The following is a 22,601-nucleotide window of genomic DNA, read 5'->3' as shown; positions in this document are numbered from 1 at the left end:
TAAGTGGTTGGGTACTTTGATACCTATGTCCTCTCTGTGACAGGTTTTTCTGTCCTGTGTTTCCAGGGCTCTCCAATGTCAGATGTGGTCAGTAGGGAGCTCCATGCCCAAGCTCAAGAACGACTGCAACACTACTTTATGGGCAGGGCCCTAGAAGAGCGAGCCCAGCAGCACAGAGAAGCTCTGATAGCACAGATCAGCACCAACGTTGAACAGCTAATGAGTATGTGCTCATTTTACTTTCGTTCTCTAAAAGGAACAACCTATGCGAGGTTTGTGACATCCAAAACCTTTAGAAGGAAACCATTACTAAGCATCTTTAGCTCATCCCCTAACCTCAGGAAATTTCTACATAGATCAGACCAGCACACAATGTTTTCAAATGATGCGGATTTTATAACCACCTTCTTACCTGTTTCCCCAAGCCTTGCCATCATTCATATGTGTCACCCCAAAGTTATTAATTTCAGATGCTGAGCCCTACTAGCCATCTTTTACTAAGTAATCTGAAAAGCTTTTGGTCATATTTTGTAAGTAGATGATGACAATAGTTACAGTGCCATTCACTTGTAGAGCATTTTATAAATTTTTTTTTATTATTATTTTGAGACGGAGTCTTGCTCTGTTGCCAGGCTGGAGTGCAGTGGTGTGATCTTGGCTCACTGCAACCTCCGCCTCCCACGTTCAAGCGATTCTCCTGCCTCAGCCTCCCCGAGTAGCTGGGACTACAGGTGCGCACCACCACGCCCAGCTAATTTTTGTAGTTTTAGTAGAGACGGAGTTTCACCATGTTGGCCAGGATGGTCTCGATCTCTTGACCTTGTGACCTGCCTACCTCGGCCTCCCAAAGTGCTGGGATTATAGGCGTGAGCCACCGTGCCTAGCCTATAATTTTTAATGAAGCACTTTACAAAAATGAATTCATCATAACCACTGATCCATTTAATGAGAGATCCCATCCATGAAGCCCCTGTGTTTCAGTCAGCATCTTGGATTTCTTTAGTATATGTAAACAGAAAGGACCAGTGTTTTCTATTTAATGGCCACTACTTGGTAATTTTATATTCTTAAATTGGATAAATGGCTGAAACTGAGCCTCTCATCTATAGGATGAGGTTCTATTAAAGTTTCTATTCTTTAAATAAACCATCTTGGCTGGGTGAGGTGGCTCATGCCTCTAATCCCAGCACTTTGGGAGGCCGAAGTGGGCGGATCACGAGGTCAGGAGTTCGAGACCAGCATGACCAACATGGTGAAACCCCATCTCTACTGAAAATACAAAAATTAGCTGGGCATGGTGGCGGGTGCCTGTAATCCCAGCTACTCAGGAGGCTGAGGCAGGAGAATTGCTTGAACCCGGGAGGCGGAGGTTGTAGTAAGCAGAGATCGCGCTACTGCACTCCAGCCTAGGTGACAGAGTGAGACTTTGTCTCAAAAAATAATAATATAAATAAATAAGCCATCTTACAAAAATCTACATCTTTTTAAATTCCTTTAAACACAGAAATGGCCGGGCACGGTGGCTCACGCCTGTAATCCCAACATTTTGGGAGGCCGAGGTAGGTGGATCATCTGAGGTCAGGAGTTCGAGACCAGCCTGACCAACATGGTGAAACGCCCGTCTCTACTAAAAATACAAAATTAGCTGGGCATGGTGGCGCACGCCTGTAATCCCAGCTACTCAGGAGGCTGAGGTAGGAGAATTGCTTGAACCCAGGAGGCGGAGGTTGCAGTGAGCCGAGATCGTGCCATGGCATTCCAGCCTGGGCAACAAGAGCAAAACTCTGTCTCAAAAAAAAACAGAAATGGGCTGAATATGTTGACACATGGCTGTAATCCCAACACTTAGGGAAGCTGAGGCAGAAGGATTGCTTGAGTCCAGGAGTTTGAGACCAGCCTGGGCAGCATAGTGAGATCTCTACAAAAAAAGAAAAAACATTAGCTGGGTGTGGTGGCATAGTCCCAGGTACTTAGGAAGCTGAGGTGGGAGAATCACTTGAGCCCAGGAGGTTGAGGCTGCAGTGAGCCGTGATCTTGCTACTGCACTCCAGCTTAGGCAATAGAGCAAGACCCTTTCTCAAAAGTAGTACATTCAGAGTTGGAATGCTGTTTCTGCCTGCAGAGTTACAGCTCTGTAGCTTCCAAGTTCCTACCTGCTTGGCATAGGACTCTTCTGCTCATCTGTTTATTTTCTGTCCACTACAGAGGCACCAAGTCTGAAGGAGGCAGAAGGGAAAGAACCTGAGCTCTTCCTAAGTAGATCCAGGCCTGTGGCAGCCAAGGCCAAGCAGGCCCATCTCACAACCCTGAAGCACATACAAGCACCCTGGTGGAAGAAGCTTGGAGAAGAATCTGGAGATGAGATTGATGTTCCAAAGGATGAGCTTAGTATAGAATTAGAAAATTTATTCATTGGTGGAACCAAACCACCTTAGTGAGTAACCCTAAGAATTGACACAAATCTCATATTTTAGGAGATTATATTGGTTCTGCCTCTGGCATGCTGGTAGACTAGGGCCATCCTAACTTATTATTTTCCAGAGGTTCTCCTCCAGACAAGACCTGCAGTAAGCAAAGAGTTATATTCTACCTCTCTCTCAATTTTCTTTTTCTTTTCTCTGTATCCTCATCGTTAGCCACACACAGATTTGTGTGGCTTTTATTGTAGAACTAAACTTAGCATAGTGTTCTGTTGTTTACATGAAGTGTGTTTTTCTTTGGTTTCTTCTGTTTTCCAACTAAATATTTTTTTCTAAATAAATATTTTCAACAATTGATTTGAAAAATTTGTCAGGATTATTTCAACTTTTCACATTTGTTATCTGAAATTCCTATTTCCTGTTAACATAGGAGGTGTGTGCAGACTTTATTAATGTGAGGAAAAGAAATGCTCAATTGAAGGACATTTCCCTGTTTTCTATAAAGCAATGGTTGAACTCATTTTCTATTTTGTTATTTCTAAAAGGAACTGCATACCAAAAAAATGCATTCTTTCTATTAAACTGTGAGAACTACATAATGTACTGTTTCCCTTTTTGTCTTTTCTCCTAGGAATCTCAAAGCTAAATATAATGTTTAATTTTTGTTACAATCCTAGGTACCTTTATGATTATTTGGTTCCAACCTAATACTTTTCAGTTTCCCTGTTTACTTTAAATATGTTTTAATACCATAACATTGAAGCCACTTCAATTTGTGTTTGTAACAATATGGAATTTAAGTTAAAATCAATTAACAAATCATGACTCCATATCATAAAGAATCTGGAAGATGCTCTTTGTAAAATGAGTGAAAATACCAGTATTTCTGGATGTAAAGACCAAATTGTATAATATTGCGCAATCTCTAATGTTAACTTTAGTAAAATTCTAATCAAAATTCCTATATTTGTACTTATAATTGGAAAAGAAATGTAGAAAAATTATGTAAGAGTGTTGCTCCCAATTTAGCAAAGAAAATGCCAGATAATCTAGAACAATAATTTTTCTTGAGCCCATTAGATAGCTGAGGACTCAAGCCAACCATGTAAACTGGGATAGGAGTCTGTATCTGTGAAATGAAGTATTTCATCTATAGTAGAGCACAAGAGAGAAGTGGCTAGGTAAGAAGAAATCAAACAAAATTTTAGCAAATTCTTAAAGGCCAGGTGTGGGCTAGCACGTCTATTTAGAATATCTAAGAGCCACAGACATAAGAAGTTGGGCCTCTACCAAATGCTCACAAGAAAGATTGAGAGTTAAGGCCAGGCACAGTGCCTCACTCCTATAATCCCAGCACTTTGGGAGGCCGAGGCAGGTGGATTGCTTGAGCCCAGGAGTTCAAGGCCAGCCTGGTCAACATGGTGAGACCCTGTCTCTACTAAAAATACAAAAATTAGCTGGATTTGGTGGCGTGCGCCTGTAGTCCCAGCTACTCAGGAGGCTGAGGCAGGAAGATTGCTCGAGTCCAGGAGGCAGAGGTTGCAGTGAGCTGAGATTGTGCCACTGTACTGCAGCCAGGGCAACAGAGTGAGATCCTGTCAAAAAAAAAAAAAAGGTTGGGAGCAAGGCAAGAGGCCTGAAGAAGACCTTTGGGGTACAGGCAAACATGAAGTGATAGGCTGCTACTGGGTGACATAGGCAAAGTCCCCACTTCCCCTTTTAAAAGTCTTAAGCTGCTAGAGCGAGGGCAGTGAATCTCTCTTACCTTTAAGGCTCAGGCAAGATTCCAGGAAGTACTCCAGGACATTGGTCTGGGCAAAAATTTCTTGAGTATGACCTCAAAAGCACAGGCAATCAAAGCAAAAATAGTTTTACTTTTTTTTTTCTTTTTTTTTTTGAGACAGTTTCACTCTTGTTGCCCAGGCTGGAGTGCAATGGCCTGATCTTGGCTCACCACAACCTCCGCCTCCCGGGTTTGAGCAATTCTCCTGCCTCAGCCTCTCGAGTAGCTGGGATTACAGGCATGTGCCACCATGCCTGGCTAATTTTTTGTATTTTTAGTAGAGATGGGGTTTCTCCGTGTTGGTCAGACTGGTCTTGAACTCCCGACCTTAGGTGATCCACCCGCCTCGGCCTCCTAAAGCGCTGGGATTACAGGTGTGAGCCACCGCACCTGGTCAGTTTTACTTTTTTTACTCAAGATGGTGGATTAGAAACTTTCAGTATGCCTCAGCCATTTGGAAATAGCAAAATAGTGCATAAACTCAGTGCTGGGTGCGGTGGCTCACGCCTGTAATCCCAGCACTTTGGGAGGCCAAGGCAGGCAGATGACTTGAGGTCAGGAGTTTGAGACCAGCCTGGCCAACATGGTGAAACCCTGTTTCCATTAAAAATACAAAAATTAGCCAGGCGTGGTAGCGCATGCCTGTAGTCCCAGCTACTGGGGAGGCTGAGGCAGGAGAATTGCCTGAACCTGGTAGGCGAAGGTTGCAATGAGCAGAGATTGGGCCACTGCACACCAGCCTGGGCGACAGAGCAAGACTCCGTCTCAGAAGAAACAATAATAATAATAATAATAATAATAAACTCTGGGAAGAAAATAGGAATTCATCAGAATAGTGAAGGACACCCCAGACCCTGAGGAGGAGAAGATTAAGCAGCCCCCATGATGGCATTCAGCTGATAAAGTGAGTGAAGCCCCAGTTCATGAAAGAGGCAGCCAATCCCAATCTTCCTGTGTTTCTTACCTTCCTGCTAGTGATCTGTGCAACCCAGGTCAAGGGAAAGCACCCTGTTTCCTCCAAGCCCAGGAGCGAGCTTGGGGAGAGGCTGAGAGACAGAGAGAGGGAAAGACACTGGAAAAAGCTGCAGACATTTTCCCAGACCTAGGACTGAAAGGAGGACGCCATTTTTAATCTGGGCTCATACAAAGTCATTGGCGACCTGGCAACAGCAGCCACTGCAGACATTTTAGTCTCAGGCTAGAGGTTGCTCTGGAGTAGGGGAAAGACCCCCACAGCTAGAACTGTGCTTGCTCTGGAGTGGGGGAAGAAACCCCACAGCCAGAATTGAGCAGTGAGTGTGGGAGCACCCCAGCAGTAGGTACTGAAATTAGGTTCTCTTCCATCTCAGGAGTGGAGTGGGAGGAGAATTGCTGAAGCCAAGGCTTCTCCTGGGTAGGATGACTTGCAGCCAGGGATAGCTTTGTGACCTGGAACCAATCTATGTGTGTCATTACTGCGTACCTTAGCATGCTCCCTTGGTCAGTTTGGGAGAGAGTGCCCCACATGCTCCTAGGGGAGAGAGGGAGTTGTACCCCTACTCACCTGGACATCCAACTCTTGGCATGCACCACCCTTCAGGGTGGAGAAAATGCAGCCCACCAAAGCCTCCCTTGGATTAAAGGAAATGAAAGTGCGGTGCCAGCTACTGAAGGGGGCAACACCAAAGCTCCTGGAGACTTGGAGACGGGGTTATCTCTTGCACCCTGCCCCCATCACCGGTGCACTGCTACAGATGTGGCAGCAACACTTTCTATTGTGGCCCCAGAAGCATGGGCTGAAAGAGGCACTTCTCAGGCTTCTCCAGGGGCTCCACTCCTACCAAAGACCAGTTACACTGGGGAAAGACGTTTTTCACCCTTTTCCGTTCCCTCTGTCCCACCAAGGGTGAGCATGCAGAGTAAGAACCTCTTGGTGGCTTTTACTCTTCAAGCACCATCTATTCGTCTGCAGCTTGAATTATACCACCAAACAAAAATACATTGCTACATGGAGCAACATTTGAGAAAGTCACTGTACAAATCTTTCTGCAACCAAGGAACCTATACAGAGCCCTGGCCCTCTGAAAGCATCCAGAAATGAAGCCTGTCATATACAACATACACTACAGTCATACCCTCAAGAGAAAAAAAGAATAAAAAATAAAAAAGCCTCACCTCATCAAAAAGCTTCAGCTTCACTCACTTCATCAGCTGAATGCCATCAGAGTGGCTGCTTAACCACTTTCTCCCCTTATGCACTATTTTGCTATTTCCAAGTGGCTGAGGCACCCTAAAAGCCTCTAATCCACCATCTTGAGTAAAAAAAGTAAAACTCTATTTGCTTTGGTTGCCTGTGCTTTTCAGGTCTTACTCAACAAAAGAAAAATAAAATCCTTCTCAGACAAGTAATTGCTAAGTGAATTTATCACCACCCTATAACAGATGCTTAAGGAAGTTCTAAACATGAAAATGAAAGAATGATACTACCATAAGAGCACACATAGGCACATAGCCCATGGATCCTGACCCATGTACAAAGCAACTACATAAGCAAAACTACAAATCAAGTAGCTAACAACAGTATGACAAACAAAATCTCACATATTAATATTAACTCTGAATGTAAACAAATTAAATGCTCCACTTAAAAGACATAGAGTGGGAAATTGAATTTAGAAAAACGCCCATCTTTCTGCTGCCTTCAAGAAAATCATGTCACATGTATTGATACCCACAGGGTCAAAGTAAAGGGAGGGAAAAAGATCTATCACGCAAATGAAAAACCAAAAGGAGCAGGGGTTGCTATTCTTGTATCAGATAAAACAGACTTTAAATGTGACCCACCACATAAACAGAATTAAAAACAAAAACCGTATGATTATTTCAATCGATGCAGAAAATGCATTTGATAAAATCCAACATCTCTTCATGATAAACACACTCAGCAAACTAGACATAGAAGGGACACACCTCAAAATAATAAGAGCCATCTACTAAAAACCCATAACCAACATCATACTGAAGGGGCAAAAGCTGGAAGTATTTTCCCTAAGAACCAGAACAAGACAAAGATGTTCACTCTCACCACCTGTATTCGACATAGAGCTGGAAGTCCTAGCCAGAGCAATCAGGCAAGAGAAAGAAAAGGCATCCTGATAGGAAGAGAGGAAGTCAAATTATCTCTCTTTGCTAATGATATGATTCTATACCTAGAAAACTCTATAAAGACTCTACCAAAAGACCCCTAGACCTGATGAACGACTTCAGTAGAGTTTCAGGACACAAAATCAACATACAAAAATCAGTAGCATTTCTATACACTGATAACTCTCAAGCTGAGAGCCAAATCAAGAACACAATCTCATTTACAATATCTACAAAAATAAAATAAAATTTCTAGGAATACATCTGACCAAGGAGGTGAAATATTTCTATAAGGAGAACTACAAAACACTGCTTACAGACAACACAAACAAATGGGAAAACATTCCATGCTCATGGTTTGGAAGAATCGATTTCATTAACATTTTCATAATGCTGAATGAAACCAATCCACAGATTCAATGCTATTTCTAACAAATAACCAAGGCCATTTTTCACAGAACTAGAAAAAAACTATTATAAAATTCATATGGAACCAAAAAAGAGCCCGAATAGCCAAAGCAATTTTGAGCACCAAGAACAAAGTCAGAGGTATCACGTTACCTAACTTCAAATGATACTACAAAGCTAGAGTAATCAAAACAATGGTATTGGTACAAAAACAGACACAGAGACCAATGGAACACAATAGAGAATGGAAAAAAACCTTAGACAAGTTTATATTTTAACTAAGTTTATTTGAGCGAAGAAAAAAAAAACAGAGCAAAACAAAACAAAGGAAAGCAAAATAAAACAAGAATGATTTGTGAATCTGGCAGCCCTTCGAGCCAGAGTGGATTGAGAGAATGCCCATCAATAACATTATCTGACATGAGTTATAGGAAATGAAAGTGCAGTGCAGAGACAACTTAATTGATTACAACTTAACTGGTTAATTGGTTACAGAGCTTCCTGCAATCAACTAAAGCTCAGCTGCTATAGTTAAACTCCATATTGGTTTGGCGTGTTAGACTTAGTGTAGGATCCTAGTCCAAATCAGTGGTCTCTCATAAATTTTATTTAACAGAAGACATGATGACTAAATGTAATGTGCTATCCTGGATGAGATTCTACAACAGAAAAAAAAAGACGGTAGGTAAAAACTAAGGAAATCTGAATAACGTATGGACGTTGGTTAATTTTAAAAGTTACATAAACTTATGGTTAAACACATAATATTTAAAACAAAGTAATATGTTTACTGCATCTGTATGGGGGAAATTGTGTGTGTGTGTGTGTGTGTGTGTGTGTGTGTGTGTGTTCCTGCACATCTCTCCACATTCAATGAAGGCATATTGATAGCTTGAAATTAGACATGGTGAGATGGTGGGAATGGTAATATCACAGAAATAAGTAAACACTACAAGTCCAAAATTTTCCCCTGCAGTAACATTCCTCCTGGTTGCTAAATGCTTACCAGCATATCACTAGCTATAACCCACCTAAATAAAAGTTCTTTGGGTTCCTCATTAATAGTTAAGTGCTTGAGAGCTGCCAATCAAAGATAATCATTTCAGCATTTGTCTTTTATAGCTGGTTCCCTCCCTAGCCTATTGAGAATGTAATAATATGCTATTTATAGATCCTTCATCAAATCATCCTACCTGACCCTTCCCAGAACCTAAAGATAATAATAACAATACTACTACTAATAAATAATTTTTAACATTTGTTGTGTGATATGTACCAGATTCTGTGCTAAGAATTTTACGGTCATTATTTTACTTAATCCTCACAACAACCCTTTAAAATAGGAACATTGATAATTTCCATTTTACAGATGTAAAAAATAAGATGAGAAACAAAAAATGGTCCAAGGTTAAGCTCATTTTATATAACTCTAAAATGAACTGCTTATTCATTTCATTTAATCATTCATTTACTCACCCACTCTTTTCGTACTTGGGTTATGTGTAGACATTTAATTCTTTGTATGCAAATGGTCCATCCACTTTATGGAGGCCCTCTTGAGGGCCAGAATGGTGCCCTATAACTTTTTCTAGTCCTCTTATTATGTACTCTGAGATGCTCAATTAGCTAAGTGACTGAGCTCTCAGTATTTGACCAAGAATCTATTATATCAGAGATATTAAACTCTAAAATACATCTATTCATTCAATGAACATCTATAAGCATTTATAAGGTAAAAGACACTGTAATAGATGCAGAAAACAGGTAACAGTCTCTGCTAGTGGAGGTTTCATCTCAGTAGAAGAGATAAACATTTAAAAAATAAATGTGTGTGTGATGACTATTATTTTGCAGGTAGGGATTTTTGTGTGAGAGTCATTAGCTTAGTCCTGGAGATGTTCAGAGGAAACACTTCAAAGAATGAACTGAAGGATGAACTGACAGTTGAAGGAGTAGAATGGGAATGTTCCAGGCAGAGGGAATGAAAAAAGTATTTTATCTGTTAAACCAGTTTATAATTTAGGAGGCACTCAGTAACTATCTGTTAAGAGTGGATTCATCTAGCACACATGCAAAAATGTACTTGCCCTGTCATTCAGATATCCAAACAACTTTAAGTACTCTGAATTTTCATATAATTTACTCACAATAATAAAAAATAAGCAGAATAGAAATACGAATCAAAATAAGTTAAATGAATTAATATGGAATGAATAAATTCGTTTCACAGAATGCCCATATATGACATAGAGAAGACAAGAGAGTTGAGGCAAGGTCCTCGATGGCCATCTCTAGAATATGCACCCCTCAGTGCCACACAGGCATAAAGAGGAAGTCACATATCTTAATGGAAAAGAATTTTCCAGGGTTAGGAGAAAACACCTGTTTCCTACAAAAGTTTTATAAGACATCTCATTACTAAATCTACGAATTATGCAGCCTTCATTTGTATTAATCAGCCTGTATTTCTTGTGCCTGTCAGCTGAATTAAAATCTGTGTGAAGGAGAGGACTGAGAAGGTTGGTTATCTGGAGGGTTGGGAGGAATAGGGCAGGAGGCAGAGGTTCAGGCTGAATTCCCTTCTGGGGTCAAAAGCGGGTCTGTAAACTGCTGGCTATACAAAACCTGTTGACAACTTGGTTTTGACTCTGGGTTGAATACATTTTCCTAAACAATGTGCTTAGGACCCTAAAGTAGTAAATCTAGAAAATATCCTAAATGTTAAAGATATCCTGATAAAGATCAAGGGGAGTGTAGTGAACAGGACACATCCAGGACAAGGTTAGAGACATTTAGGGAATCCGTAGACTTTCTCACAATATCTGCTCTACATGCAAATCTTCACATTTACTAGTTGTATCAGCAATAGTGGGGAGTGTTTTTAAATCCTGGTGATGTTCTTTGTTAGGGTAAACCTTAGTGGAACACTCCATGGAAGTGCTTTTAAGCATATCTGAGATGTCAGTTTGATATGTAATTTGAGTTACAGTGGCCTCTTTGTGCTGGTATATTAACCCATTAAATAGATCTGTGTCCTGAGGAAACTCTATAATACTTGAGAGCTCCCCAAAGAGGGCCCTGCCACCTATCTCCTAAGATACATGATAATAAATTCCTCACTTTGATGGGCTGGAGAAATCCCCCTCACAAAGCCTGCTTTCAGGACTGTGATTCTTAGATCCTGGATCAAGAATAAGCCACACCAGTGTCTGGCACAAGGTCTGTGCTTAGTTAAGTACTTGTTGAATGAATGCTGAGTAACAGCTTTCTGGTCACACCTCCTAGGAATTTTCTTTGATTTTAGATTTTAGATTCCTTATGACCCTTGCTCTAGGTGCTCCAGGATGAGAAAGTCACCATTGCTCCTCATATGAGTTCTTCATTTATTATAAATGCTCAGTAATGATTCATAGAGTAATAGTGCCTGAGTTCTTATGGAATGAATGCTGCCGCTGCTTCTCCATAGTTCCATTCCCTTTGAAAAGTGGAAATGGCATATGGATCCAAGCATAGAGACTGAGCCCACCTATCTTGGCCTTCTCTGACACATTGCTCATCATGGATGGATTTCAGAGTTTCATTCCTGGCTCCATGAGCTCCATAATGACCCAGAGTCTGCTGATTCTGTTGGGGAAGACTCTTGGAGTTAGCAGATGCCTTGATTTGAGAGCCTAGCCAACTCTAGGCCCTTCAGTCAAATAGTTGTGACATCTCTAGCTCCTGTAGACATGGAGTTTTAACAGGGATTTCTTCACCTCTCAGAAAAGGAGTTCCCAGCCAGAAACCATGCTTGGGAGGCAATCCTTGCCATTCTTCATGCAAGGATGGCTGGCTCCTTTAGCTCTCTGGCTCCCCGATATGCCAGCATTCCTGCTCAGCCCTCCCTACCTTTGGGCAAACTATAGTGATGCTCGAAGATGCTCAGTGAGAGCTGAAAGACAAGCATTGAGGTCTTAACACCAAGGCAGGAGCAGGAGTCTCTGATGCTTCTGAGAAACCTGGAACCATGACATCTATTCATTCTACATCTTCAGCCTTCCTAAGGCTCAATCTGCCATGCTCACTCCTCATTCCAAAATTAATCAAGCAGGAGGCAAAGAAGCACCTTGCCTGCAGCTCCATAGACAGAACAGACCCCCAAATCTCAATCACCTGCACCTCAGAAATGGACTACATACAGGGACCTGCAGAAACCAAAGGTCTGGGCAGCAAAATACACATCAAGGGCTTCTGTACATTCAAAGTTTTGAGAAGTTCAAGAGGATGAAACAAAAATCATCAGGCCTTGCCTCAGTTTCCCTAAAGCTAGCCCAGTTCTCTGTAAACCTAGTGCCTAATTAGGAGGGCCAACATTCCAGAAAGGAAAGTCAGGAGAACAAGAACCCAAATTCCCCTAGAAAGCCTCTTCTGGCATCTGTTTCTAGGAGCCAATTGGTTTGAGGGATGGTTATCAACTATGACATGGAGACAAATGGTCTGAAATCTATCTCATGTCATATTGGCCTCCTTTGAATACCAGAACAGAGCCCACACAATTCACAGAGCAGCAGTGCCTCTGTCCTGAGCACTGATGGGTTCCCAGTTCATATCTGCTGCAGCTGCATTTTGCAGATAGACCTTAGTCAAGAAGAGGGTACCAGTGTGTGACCAGGTATCTCCACATTTTCCAGAGGAGATACCCATGATTCACAAAACTTTTCTTTTGAAGTGCTACCATCATGCTGCCTAACTTCATGCTTAAAGCACCTTACTTTTCAAACTTCAGAGCCTGTCTCCAAAAAAATAAAGGATGGAATCATTGGTTTGGCTCTGGACCTGATTAGGAAGAAATAGAGAACTGATGCAGCCAGTAGTGCCAGATTCTGTGGGAGAATGCTCTGCTAAATGGTTCCATCACCTACTTTTGGAAGCCCTTTTGTTGGCTGTAGATTTTGCCTATTGTGTGACATGAATTTTTCTTATCCCTGATAAGTGCCTTAAAATAAACTTGAGCTTCCTCAATTTAGAGCAAGTCTCTCAAGGGACTTCTCGGCTGAGGCTATGTCTGAATTCAGTAAACCTCCCAAGTAGGCCTCAACTTGCTTAGAACCATGATACTGAAGCTGAATCATTTCTAACTAGCTTCGATTAGAGGTGGTTGAGGAAGTTTCTATTCTGGAAATATGCTGCCTTAAGACAAGCCCAAACCATCAAAATGGAAAATTTTGAAAATTATGAAAAGAGGGACAAGTAGCCTAGTTCCTTTCATAAACCATTCCACTACATTTGATGCCCTTCCTGCCACATCTCCCCTGCCCCACCCGGCTCCCATATGCCCATATGTTCACCCTCTTCCAAACCTTTAATCCAAAGCAATTTCTAAGAGGCAATTCTTTTAAGCACATAACACTCTGACTAATCCTTCAGTCAGTAATGCCTTGAGCTTCTGTACAACATATTTTTTTCTTTTGAACTTACCTGTATACTGCTTAGAAGTTATTTTAAGGCATTGTGTATTTGTGTATATATGTATATATATATACACAGAGATAATTCTCTGAGGAACTGGTTGTAACCTTGCTTCCAGTAGCTATAGTCCTAAAGCTGCCAGGACCCTCTAACTCCCAAAATGCTAAGCTTGCTGCCCTGGACAATAGTAATTCCTGTTTGGAGAGTTCCCATTGCAAATGAGAAAGAGGAAAGGAAGAAAAGATCACAGCAGACTCAAATGTCTGGAGAGGTAAGGTCAGCCTGTGGGCAGTGAGCAGAACACCAGGCAGTGCAGAGTAGTGTTTACATGTCAGAATCTGTGAATATGAATCATGGCTCCACCATTTTACTGAGGATAAAGAGCCTAATCTACATGTAAGGGATTGATGCCTAGCAGCATGAAGTTAACATAACATAAGTTATCTATAAGTCTTTTAGTTTCTGGGAGAGCAGCCAAATTGTGTTGTCTAGTATGATGTCTGATACGAATTTGGGCATTTGAGTTGAATCAGGGGAAGTGTTATGGGGCTGGAGTGGCCCATGATCCAACTTTCAGGTGCCTACCTGGGTGCAGGAACAAAGATGTGCTGCTCTGGCTGGAGATAGCCAGCATGAGTGAGGTGCTGCTTAGTAAGTAAATCTCTGTAGCCCTCACTGAATAGAGCTGCATTGTCTCTGGTGAGGCAGGTGAACTCTGTTCTAAGTCAGTCATGATGACCCCACAGATAACTATTTGGCCATCACAAGAATAAAACTGCTGAATTCTACTGCAGGAAACTGAAATAAATCAAGATGAGTTCAGGGACACAGGAAAGGTTAAGGAACTACAGAGATAACATAAGGGGGCACCTAGATGGTCTCAGGGCATGTATAGCAATTTGGGTTCTATTCTCAAGAGATTGCAGTTGATTATCTCACCACAGGTCCTTTCCTCCCACCCTGAATTCCCCTGCCTTTAGTTCTGAGCTCCAGGGACCTCTAGCTAATCCATTATCTCCTTCTCTTTTTCCCCTAAATTGCCTTGTAATTATGCTCTTTTATGATTCAACTTTCCTCTCCAAAACTCCCCTGGTCCCAAGGGCGGTGGTTCCAATGACTCCTAGAAACAGATGCCACTGGTTAGTGCCTTACAATAAACTTGAACTCCTTCAATTTTGAACAAGTCTCTCAAGGGACAGATGTCCTGCTATCTTTTAGGCATCCTGGACCCTGGTTGTGACCACTAATCCAGCCCTGGTGTTTTTTTGTCCCTAGTGGTGTTCTGGCACTTCAGAGAGACGTCAGATTCAGCCCTACTGACATGGCTTGGCACCCATGGAAGCCTGCCAGAAAGGAAAAATGCAGCTGAAGATTGCTGCATCCATGCCTCAGCACAGGGGTCCCCAACTCCCGGACCATCGACCGGTACCAGTCCGTGGCCTGTTAGGAACCAGGCCACACAGCAGGAGGTGTGCAGTGGGCGATGGTGCATTTCTGCCTGAGCTCCGCCTCCTGTCAGATCAGCTGCCCCGTTAGATTCTCAAAGGAGCGCGAACCCTACTGTGAACTGCTCACACGAAGACTCTAGGTTGCACGCTTCCTATGAGACTCTAACTAATGCCAGATAATCTGAGGTGGAAGAGTTTCATCCTGAAACCACCCTCTACCCCGCCACCTGCCCCTTCCGTCTTCCATGAAACCAGTCCCTGGTGCCAAAAAGGATGGGGACCACTGCCCCAGCATATTCAGAAGCCCAGGTCAAAGGAGATCCAGGAATTTGCTCTTCCAGTCATCACCTCCTTGTCCCCTTCCAGAATGTGCATTTCTTCTGTATTGCTGATAGCAATAATCTCTGGCCCCTCCTACTGCTTCCTGCCCAGCACCAGCCCCTACTCTTGTGGATAATCTACAGTACAAGCATGGGGGTGGGGCTTAAATTCTAGTAGTCCTGCCAGCTTTTTGGTTTCCTGGCATATGAAGGCCAAGGAATTCAGAAAAATTATCTTTCTCAGGCTTGGACTATGTGGTGTTTGGTACACTCTGGATCCTTCTGGGAATTTTGCTCATGTAGGGAAATACAACAGATAAGGACCCAGGGCAGGGCAAGTATACAGAGATATTTTCATACAAAATCCAAATCTCATAATTAAGGTTCATCTTCACCCCAAGAGAATCCTGATTAATGTGGATTTTTTATTTAATGACTGTATGTAAAACTAATTCTAGAGACCAGCTATGTGAGAGACACACACATCATCAGGGAGCAGTGTCAGCTGTTGATGCGGTCCGCTGGGCATCTCAGTCCTGAACAGCTGCAGTTGATATTCAGCAACATTCTGTTGTGCATTGAAGCCCTGGAGAGCCTGCAGAAGATGTTCCAAGCCCTGGCTCATGTCTGGCTTTGGAAGGGCTAGGGCTCTAACTGCGCTATTAGTTTCAGTGGCCCTGCCATGGAGCCATCACTTGATTGCCCACCCTGGTTTTACCTCTTTCTCATTATAGGCCCCACGAAGCTGCCCTGAAAATAGATACTTTTGTAAACAATATCTTTGGCTAGAGTAAATATGGAGAAAGAAAAGTGTAATGACAAAGGTAATCAGTTAAACTACAAAAAGACCTTTTTTTTCTTTTTTCTCTTTTCTTTTTTTTAGACCTGAATTAGCTAGGAAACATTCCATCTGTTCCTATGCTCTGTATAGATTGTATAGCATAGGAAATATCTGTTCCTTGAAAGCTTGTCTTAGTTTGGGATGCTATAAAAATATCATAGACTGGGTGGCTTATAAACAACAGAAATTTATTTCCCATAATTTTGGAGTTTGAGAAGTCTAAGATTAAGGCACTGGTAGATTCGGTGTTGCGTGAGGGCTCACTTCATGGCTCACAGACGCCATCTTCTCATTCATCCTCACGTGGCAGAAGAGGCAAGGGAGCTAAGTGCAGTAGCTCATGCCTCTAATCCTAGCACTTTGGGAGGCCGAGGCAGGTGTATTGCTTGAGCCCAAGAGTTAAAGACCAGCCTGGGCAACACGGCAAAATCCAATCTCTACAAAAAAAAAAAAAAAAAAAAAAAAAAAAAACCCACAAAAATTAGCTGGGCATGGTGGCGTACACTTGTAGTCTCAACTACTCAGGAAGCTGAGATGAGATGATCACCTAAGCCCTGGAAGTTGAGGTTGCAGTGAGCCAAAATTATGCCACCGCACTGCAGCCCAAGAGTGAGACCCTGTCTCAAAAAAAAAAAAAAAAAAAAAAAAACAAGGGAGGACTCTGGGGTCTCTTTTATAAGGGCGCTAATCTCATTCATGAGGTCTCTACCTTCATGACCTAATTATCTCCCAAAGGCCCTACCCCCTCATACTATAAAATTGACAGGACATCAGCATATGAATTTTGCCGGGAACACAAATATTCAGTCTATAAAAAAGCCCCAAAAGCAATTGCCTGAAAAACTGTCTGGATTGTATACTTTTCTTCTGAGATTAACAACTTTTAAATGTTTTTTTTTTTCTAGAAGTTGTCAGATTCCTCTACTTTTTCTTGGGTCAAATTTGGAAATATATGTATACACATACATTCCTTTATTTTTTTGGCACAGTTTTAGATTTACAGACACATTGAGCAGACATACAGAGTTTTATATATTCATCTCATCCTCCCCCCACTTCCCACCTCTCAGCAGTTTCCCCTATTATTACCATGTTTATTACATTTGATGAACCAATATTGAGACATTATCATTAACTAAAGTCCACAGTTTACATTAAAATTTACTCTTTATGTTATACAGTTCTATGGAGTTTGACAAATGCACAATACCACATATCCACCACTGCAGTGTCATACAAAATAGTTTCTCTCCCTTAAAATATTCTCTCTATTCCATATATTAATCCTTCTTTGCCCCTTCCCAACCCCATCCATGACAGCCACTGATTTTCTTTTACTGTTTCTATAGTTTTGCCTCTTTCAAAATGTCAAATTGCTGGACCACACAGTATATAGCCTTTTCAGACTGATTTCTTTCACTTAACAATATGCATTTAACGTTCCTCCATGTCTTTTCATGGCTTGATTGCTCAATTCATTTTATCACTGAATAATGTTCAATTGTATGAAATACCACAGTATATCTGTTTATCTACTGAAGGACATCTTTGCTTTCAAGTTTTGGGAATTACGAATAAAGCTGCTATAAACATTCATGTGCAAGTGTTTTTGTGGACATACATTTTCACTGATTTTGATATATCTAGGAGCATGATTGCTGGATGGTATGGTCAATCTATGTTTAGCTTTGTAAGAAACTGCTTAACTGTCTTCCAAAGTGGTTGTATCATTTTACATTCCCATCAGTAATAGATGTGAGTTCCTGTTGTTCTACATGCTTGCCAGCAGTTGATGATGTCCAGGTTTTGGATTTTTGTGATTCAAATAGGTGTGTGGTGGTATCTTATTGTTCCTTTAATTTGCAATTCCCTAGTAACATATGATGTTGACTTCCTTTCCTTTCCTTTTCTTTCCCCTCCCTCCCTCCCTTCTTCCTTCCTTCATTTATCTTTCTTCCTCTTTCTTTCTTTCTTCCCCTCCCTCCCTCTCTCTTTCTCTTTCTTTCTCTCTCTTTCTTTCCTTCCTTCCTTCCTTCCTTCCTTCCTTCCTTCCTTCCTTCCTTCCTTCTTTCTTTCTTTCTTTCTTTCTTTCTTTCTTTCTTTCTTTCTTTCTCTTTCTTTCCTCTCTCTCTCTCTCTCTTTCTCTCTTTCTTTCTGACACGGAGTCTCCCTGTGTCCCCCAGGCTGGAGTGCAGTGGCGCAATCTCAGCTCATTGCAACCTCCACCTCCCGGGTTCAAGCGATGCTCCTGCCTCAGCCTCCTGAGTAGCTGGGATTACTGGCGCGCGCCACCACGCCTGGTTAATTTTTGTATTTTTTTAAGTAGACACGGGGGTTTCATCATGTTGGTTAGGCTGGTCTTAAACTTCTGACCTTGTGATCTGCCTGCCTCGGCCTCCTAAAGTGCTGGGATTACAGGCATGAGCTATCGTGCCCGGCTGCATTTTTTTGTGTGCTTATTTGCCATCTGTGTATCTTCTTTGGTGAGGTGTCTGTTCAGATCTTTTGCCCACTTGTGAATTTTTTTAATTAAAATTTTTGCATTATAAGAGTTCCTTGTGTATTTTAGGTAACAGTCCTTTATCAAATAGGTATTCTACAAATATTTTCTCCCAGTCTGTGCCTTGTTTTTTTAATCTTCTTAACGGTGCCTTTTGCAGAGCAGAAGTTTTTCATTTTAATCAAGTCCAACTTATTGTGTTCTCCCCCCCGCATTGGCTCATGCTTTTGGTGTTGTATCTGAAAAGTCATCACCAAACTCAAAGTCACCTAGAGTCTCAAATTATCCTATAGATGTTTTATATTTTTACATTTTATATTTACATCTTAAGATCCACTTTGAGTTAATTTGTATAAAAGGTATAAGGTGTGTGTCATTTTTTGCATGTGGATTTCCAGTTGTTCTAGCACCATGTATTGAAAAGACTCTTTTCTCCATTGAATTGCCTTTGCTCCATTCTCAAAGATCAGTTGTCTACATTTATGTGGATCTATTTTGGGGCTGTCCATTCTGTTCCATTGGTCTATTTGTCTATTCTTTAGCCAATACCATGCTGTCTTGTTTACTGTAGCTGTGTAGTAAGTCTTGAAGTTGGGTAACGTCAGTCCTCCAACTTTGTTCTTCTTGAATAGTCTGTGGATTATTCTGGGTCTTTTACTTTTTCATATAAAATTCAGAATTAATTTGTTGATATCCACAAAATAATGTGCTAAGATTTTGATTGAGATCTTATTGAATCTACAGATAAAGTTGGGAAGAATTGACATCGTAACAATACTGATGCTTTCTGGGAATATGGAATATTTCTCAATTTATTTAGATTTTAATTTTTTTAATCAGAGGTTTGCTAGTTTCCTTCACATAGAGCCTGTACATATTTTGTTAGATTTATGCCTAAGTATTTATTTCGTCTTTTTTTTTTGAGGCTAATGTAAATGGTATTGTGTTTTTAATTTCAAATTCCAATTGTTCTTTGCTGAGGAAAGCAATTGACCTTTTACCCTGTAGCCTCGTTAAAATTGCTTATTAATTCCAGGAGGTTTTTGTTTATTCTTAGATATTTTTTACATAAAAAATCATGCCATCTACAAAGACAGTTTTATTTATTACTTGCTAGTATGAATATCTTTTATTTCCCTTTATTGTCTTACATTAGGCAGGAGGTTTAGTATAATGTCACCTAGGAGTAGTGACAGGGGACATCCTTACCTTGTTCCTGATCTTAGAGGGAAAGCATCCAGTTTCTCACCATTAAGAATCTGCAATATTTTTCTATCAAGTTGAGTAAATATCCTTCGATTCCTAGTTTTCTGAGTTTTTTTTTTTAATCATGAATGGGTGTTGATTTTTCTTCTTCCCCCACCTTCCCTCTTCTTCTTTCCCCACCTTCTTTCCTCAGCTTCTTTTCCCTATCCCCACCTTCCCTCTCTTCTTCCCCCACCTTCCCTCTTCTTCTTCCCCTGCCATCCCTCTTCTTCTTTCCCCTTTCCCTACCATCCCTCTTCTTTCCCCTTTCCCCACCATCCCTCTTTTTCTTTCCCCACCTTCCGTCTTCCTTTCCCCTTTCTTTCCTCTCCTTCCTTCTTCTTTTTCCCCCCTCATCTCCCTTCCTCTTTCCCCACCATCCCTCTTCTTCTTTCCCCACCTTCCCTCTTCTTGTGAAAATATTTTTCTTCATTGGTTGATGTGATCATGTGATTGTATATTTTTGCATATAATTGATATGTCTCAAAGTTATATTTTTCAAGACAATTTCTTATTTCTCCAAGATTTTAAGATTTATTCATATAGAATTCTATGTTGGATATTTTATTTAACAAATATTTATTGAGTATATACTATGCTGAAGATACGTTAGGTATGGAAGATACATTAATAAATAAGGCTGCATGAAAGTTTTGGAATAAGTTTGCATTTGGTATAGAGGAAGGTAAGATGATGATGAGGAAAGAACTGAAAAAGGGGAGAGGGAATTGGGCAACAGTAAATCACAGAGAATGTGACATTTCTTGTCTTTCAACTTTTCCTCCCTGTACTTTCAATTAGGGAAATGATCACTCTCTAAGGGACACCTGAATGACTCCACACTTCTGTGATTTCTGCAGTCTCTAACTGCTCTGGAGCTTAGAGTCATATCCAAACCCCTTAGCATAAAATGGCACAATTTTATGACCTACTCTTTGCCTAACCATTCAGTCATATCACTTATGTCAAATTGCCCAAATGGTCCATGCACATGCTGCTCCATCTACCTCCACTATTCTGTACCCTCTTTTTTGCTGGGGCAACCCCTAATTATCTTTTATTATCTTGATCACCCTCTCAGAGCCTAAATTGCTTCCATTAAGTTGCATTCTAAATTATTTCCAGTCCTTCAGTGAACTTAGAAATAATATGTTTTGCTCTTTAACTTCTCCACCTCATTTTCTTCCTTCACACCCCTAGTGTTCACTATAATTCTCACCATACTGTGCTCACCCAATAATAGAAGGTAGAGCTATAAGAAGACCTACTAGACAGAAAAAATTCTAATCTCGTCTCCCATAAGAAACTTTCATTCTGTTAAAACTGAAAGGTAAATTCTAAGGTCGAATGTGGAAATAAGTATGTAGAAAGGTAAATTTTGTGTAAGGGAGTACAATAGGACTCTCAGTGATGGCTTCTATTTTCTCTAAGATAGAAGCAAGTTCATCTGCTAGGAGTGTGAAGTGTAGACACGGGGTTGGGACTTAAAGAGGATGTTAAAGGTTTGAATAATTGTGGCAAATAGGAGAGGAAGCTGAAGACAAGAAGGATTTGGGAGTGTGCTGAAGATGGAGTTCAGCTGGAAACTGAATGTGCAGTGGTCAGGACATTGATGTCACTGATGACATTGTCCTGATGTCTCCTGCAGCATTTTGCTCCCCAAAGGTAGAAGTAGAGACCAATGGTTGGACTGATGCAGGTTTAGGACTTTGCTGGGTGGATACAATCAGGGATATAAGAATATGATGTATTCATTAAGTACTGCAGCATTCAAATTCTGTCTCTGCCCCTCACCATGTGACCTTGTGCAAATTATTTAACCTTCTGAAGTCTTATTGTCTCACATTTAAGATAAGGATAATCATATATACTTTATTAATTTAACAGATATTGAGTGCCCTCCTCTATACTTTTCTGGGACCTGGAGATAAAGCTGAGATCAAAATTACTACCTTCCTGGAGCTTATAATCTAATGAGAAGAGAGATACCAGATAAATGAAATATATAGTACTTTAGATGGCAAAATGCTTAGGGGAAAAAGAAGCAAAGAAGAAGTATATAGTGCATGCAGGAAATTGCAATTTTATTTATGTTTGTATTGATACATATTTGTACATATTTATGGGGTGTGGTAGTTTGATATATGCATACAATGTGTAATGATCAAATCAGGGTGTTTAGGATATCTATCACCTCAAACATTTATCATTTTTGTGTTTGGAACATTTCTAATCTCCTAGTTATTTTGAAATATATAACATATTGTTAACTATAGTCACCCTACTGTGCTATCAAACACTTGAACTTATTCCTTCTATCTACGTTTGTACCCATTAACCAATCTCTTCCCTCCCTCCCCCAACTCCACCTTCCCAGCCTCTGGTACTTATCTCTACTCCATGAGATCAACTTTTTAAGCTCCCACATGAGTGAGACCATGGGATATTTGTCTTTCTGTGCCAGACTTATTTCACTTAGAATAATGACCTCCAGTTCCGTAAGATGGGCAGCCAGGAAAGGCCTTACTTAGCTGATGTTTGAATTGTGAAGTTATGTAATCATTAAGATGAGTATACATACAATGGGCCAGCTGAGTGCACAGCAAGATTCAATAAATTCAAACTAACATTACTCTTATTGCCAAGAGAGTGCCTGAAATGACAGCTCATTGGAAACTGGCTACTTTCCTTCCCTTTCCTTAGGGGTTTAAGGAAAGCATGAGTGATTTCAGTCTTTTGCTGGAGCTCCTCACTGACACTCATTGCAGAGCCTGAGCCCTCAACTCTCAATCTTTGCTTAGGTCCTGGCTTAGGCTCCACTTTGTAAGAGGCACCTTCCTAGTATTCACTACTCTCTCTCTCACAATCATGTCCTTACAGACATTGCTGATCCTCTTTCATACTGACACCGGGTTCTAGTCCGAGTTCCATCACTAAGTCGCTGTTTGACTTTGGGCAAGTTACTTCTGTGGTTAATTATTTTTCATCAACAAAATCAAAAGGTGAAACTAGACGAACAACTAAGAGGCTCCAGTATTTTTTCAATCTAAGAGTCCCATATCCCC

At 40.9% G+C, this 22,601-nt stretch overlaps 1 protein-coding gene across 8 annotated transcripts in view; it reads left to right on the top strand.

Moving 5' to 3' along the window:
• The window catches only part of IQCB1 (IQ motif containing B1), a 65,300-nt gene extending 62,281 nt beyond the window's left edge, over window positions 1-3,019 (top strand). For 6 of the 8 annotated variants that reach the window (NR_134968.2, NM_001319107.2, NM_001023571.4 and 3 more), the window contains 2 exons: window positions 67-223; window positions 2,206-3,019. Coding sequence is in view for 7 of the 8 variants with exons in the window: in NM_001319107.2 (NP_001306036.1) it covers window positions 67-223; window positions 2,206-2,435 (387 nt within the window). In the remaining variant the exon portion in view is untranslated. The remainder of the gene's footprint in view (window positions 1-66; window positions 224-2,205) is intronic. The other 2 variants (XM_017007539.3, XM_005247911.5) reach the window with 1 other exon arrangement.

Source organism: Homo sapiens, chromosome 3 (genome assembly GCF_000001405.40).
Source record: "Homo sapiens chromosome 3, GRCh38.p14 Primary Assembly".
Taxonomy (NCBI): domain Eukaryota; kingdom Metazoa; phylum Chordata; class Mammalia; order Primates; family Hominidae; genus Homo; species Homo sapiens.
Note: the sequence above shows the minus strand (reverse complement) of the source record. Positions and strands in the feature narration are given on the sequence as shown.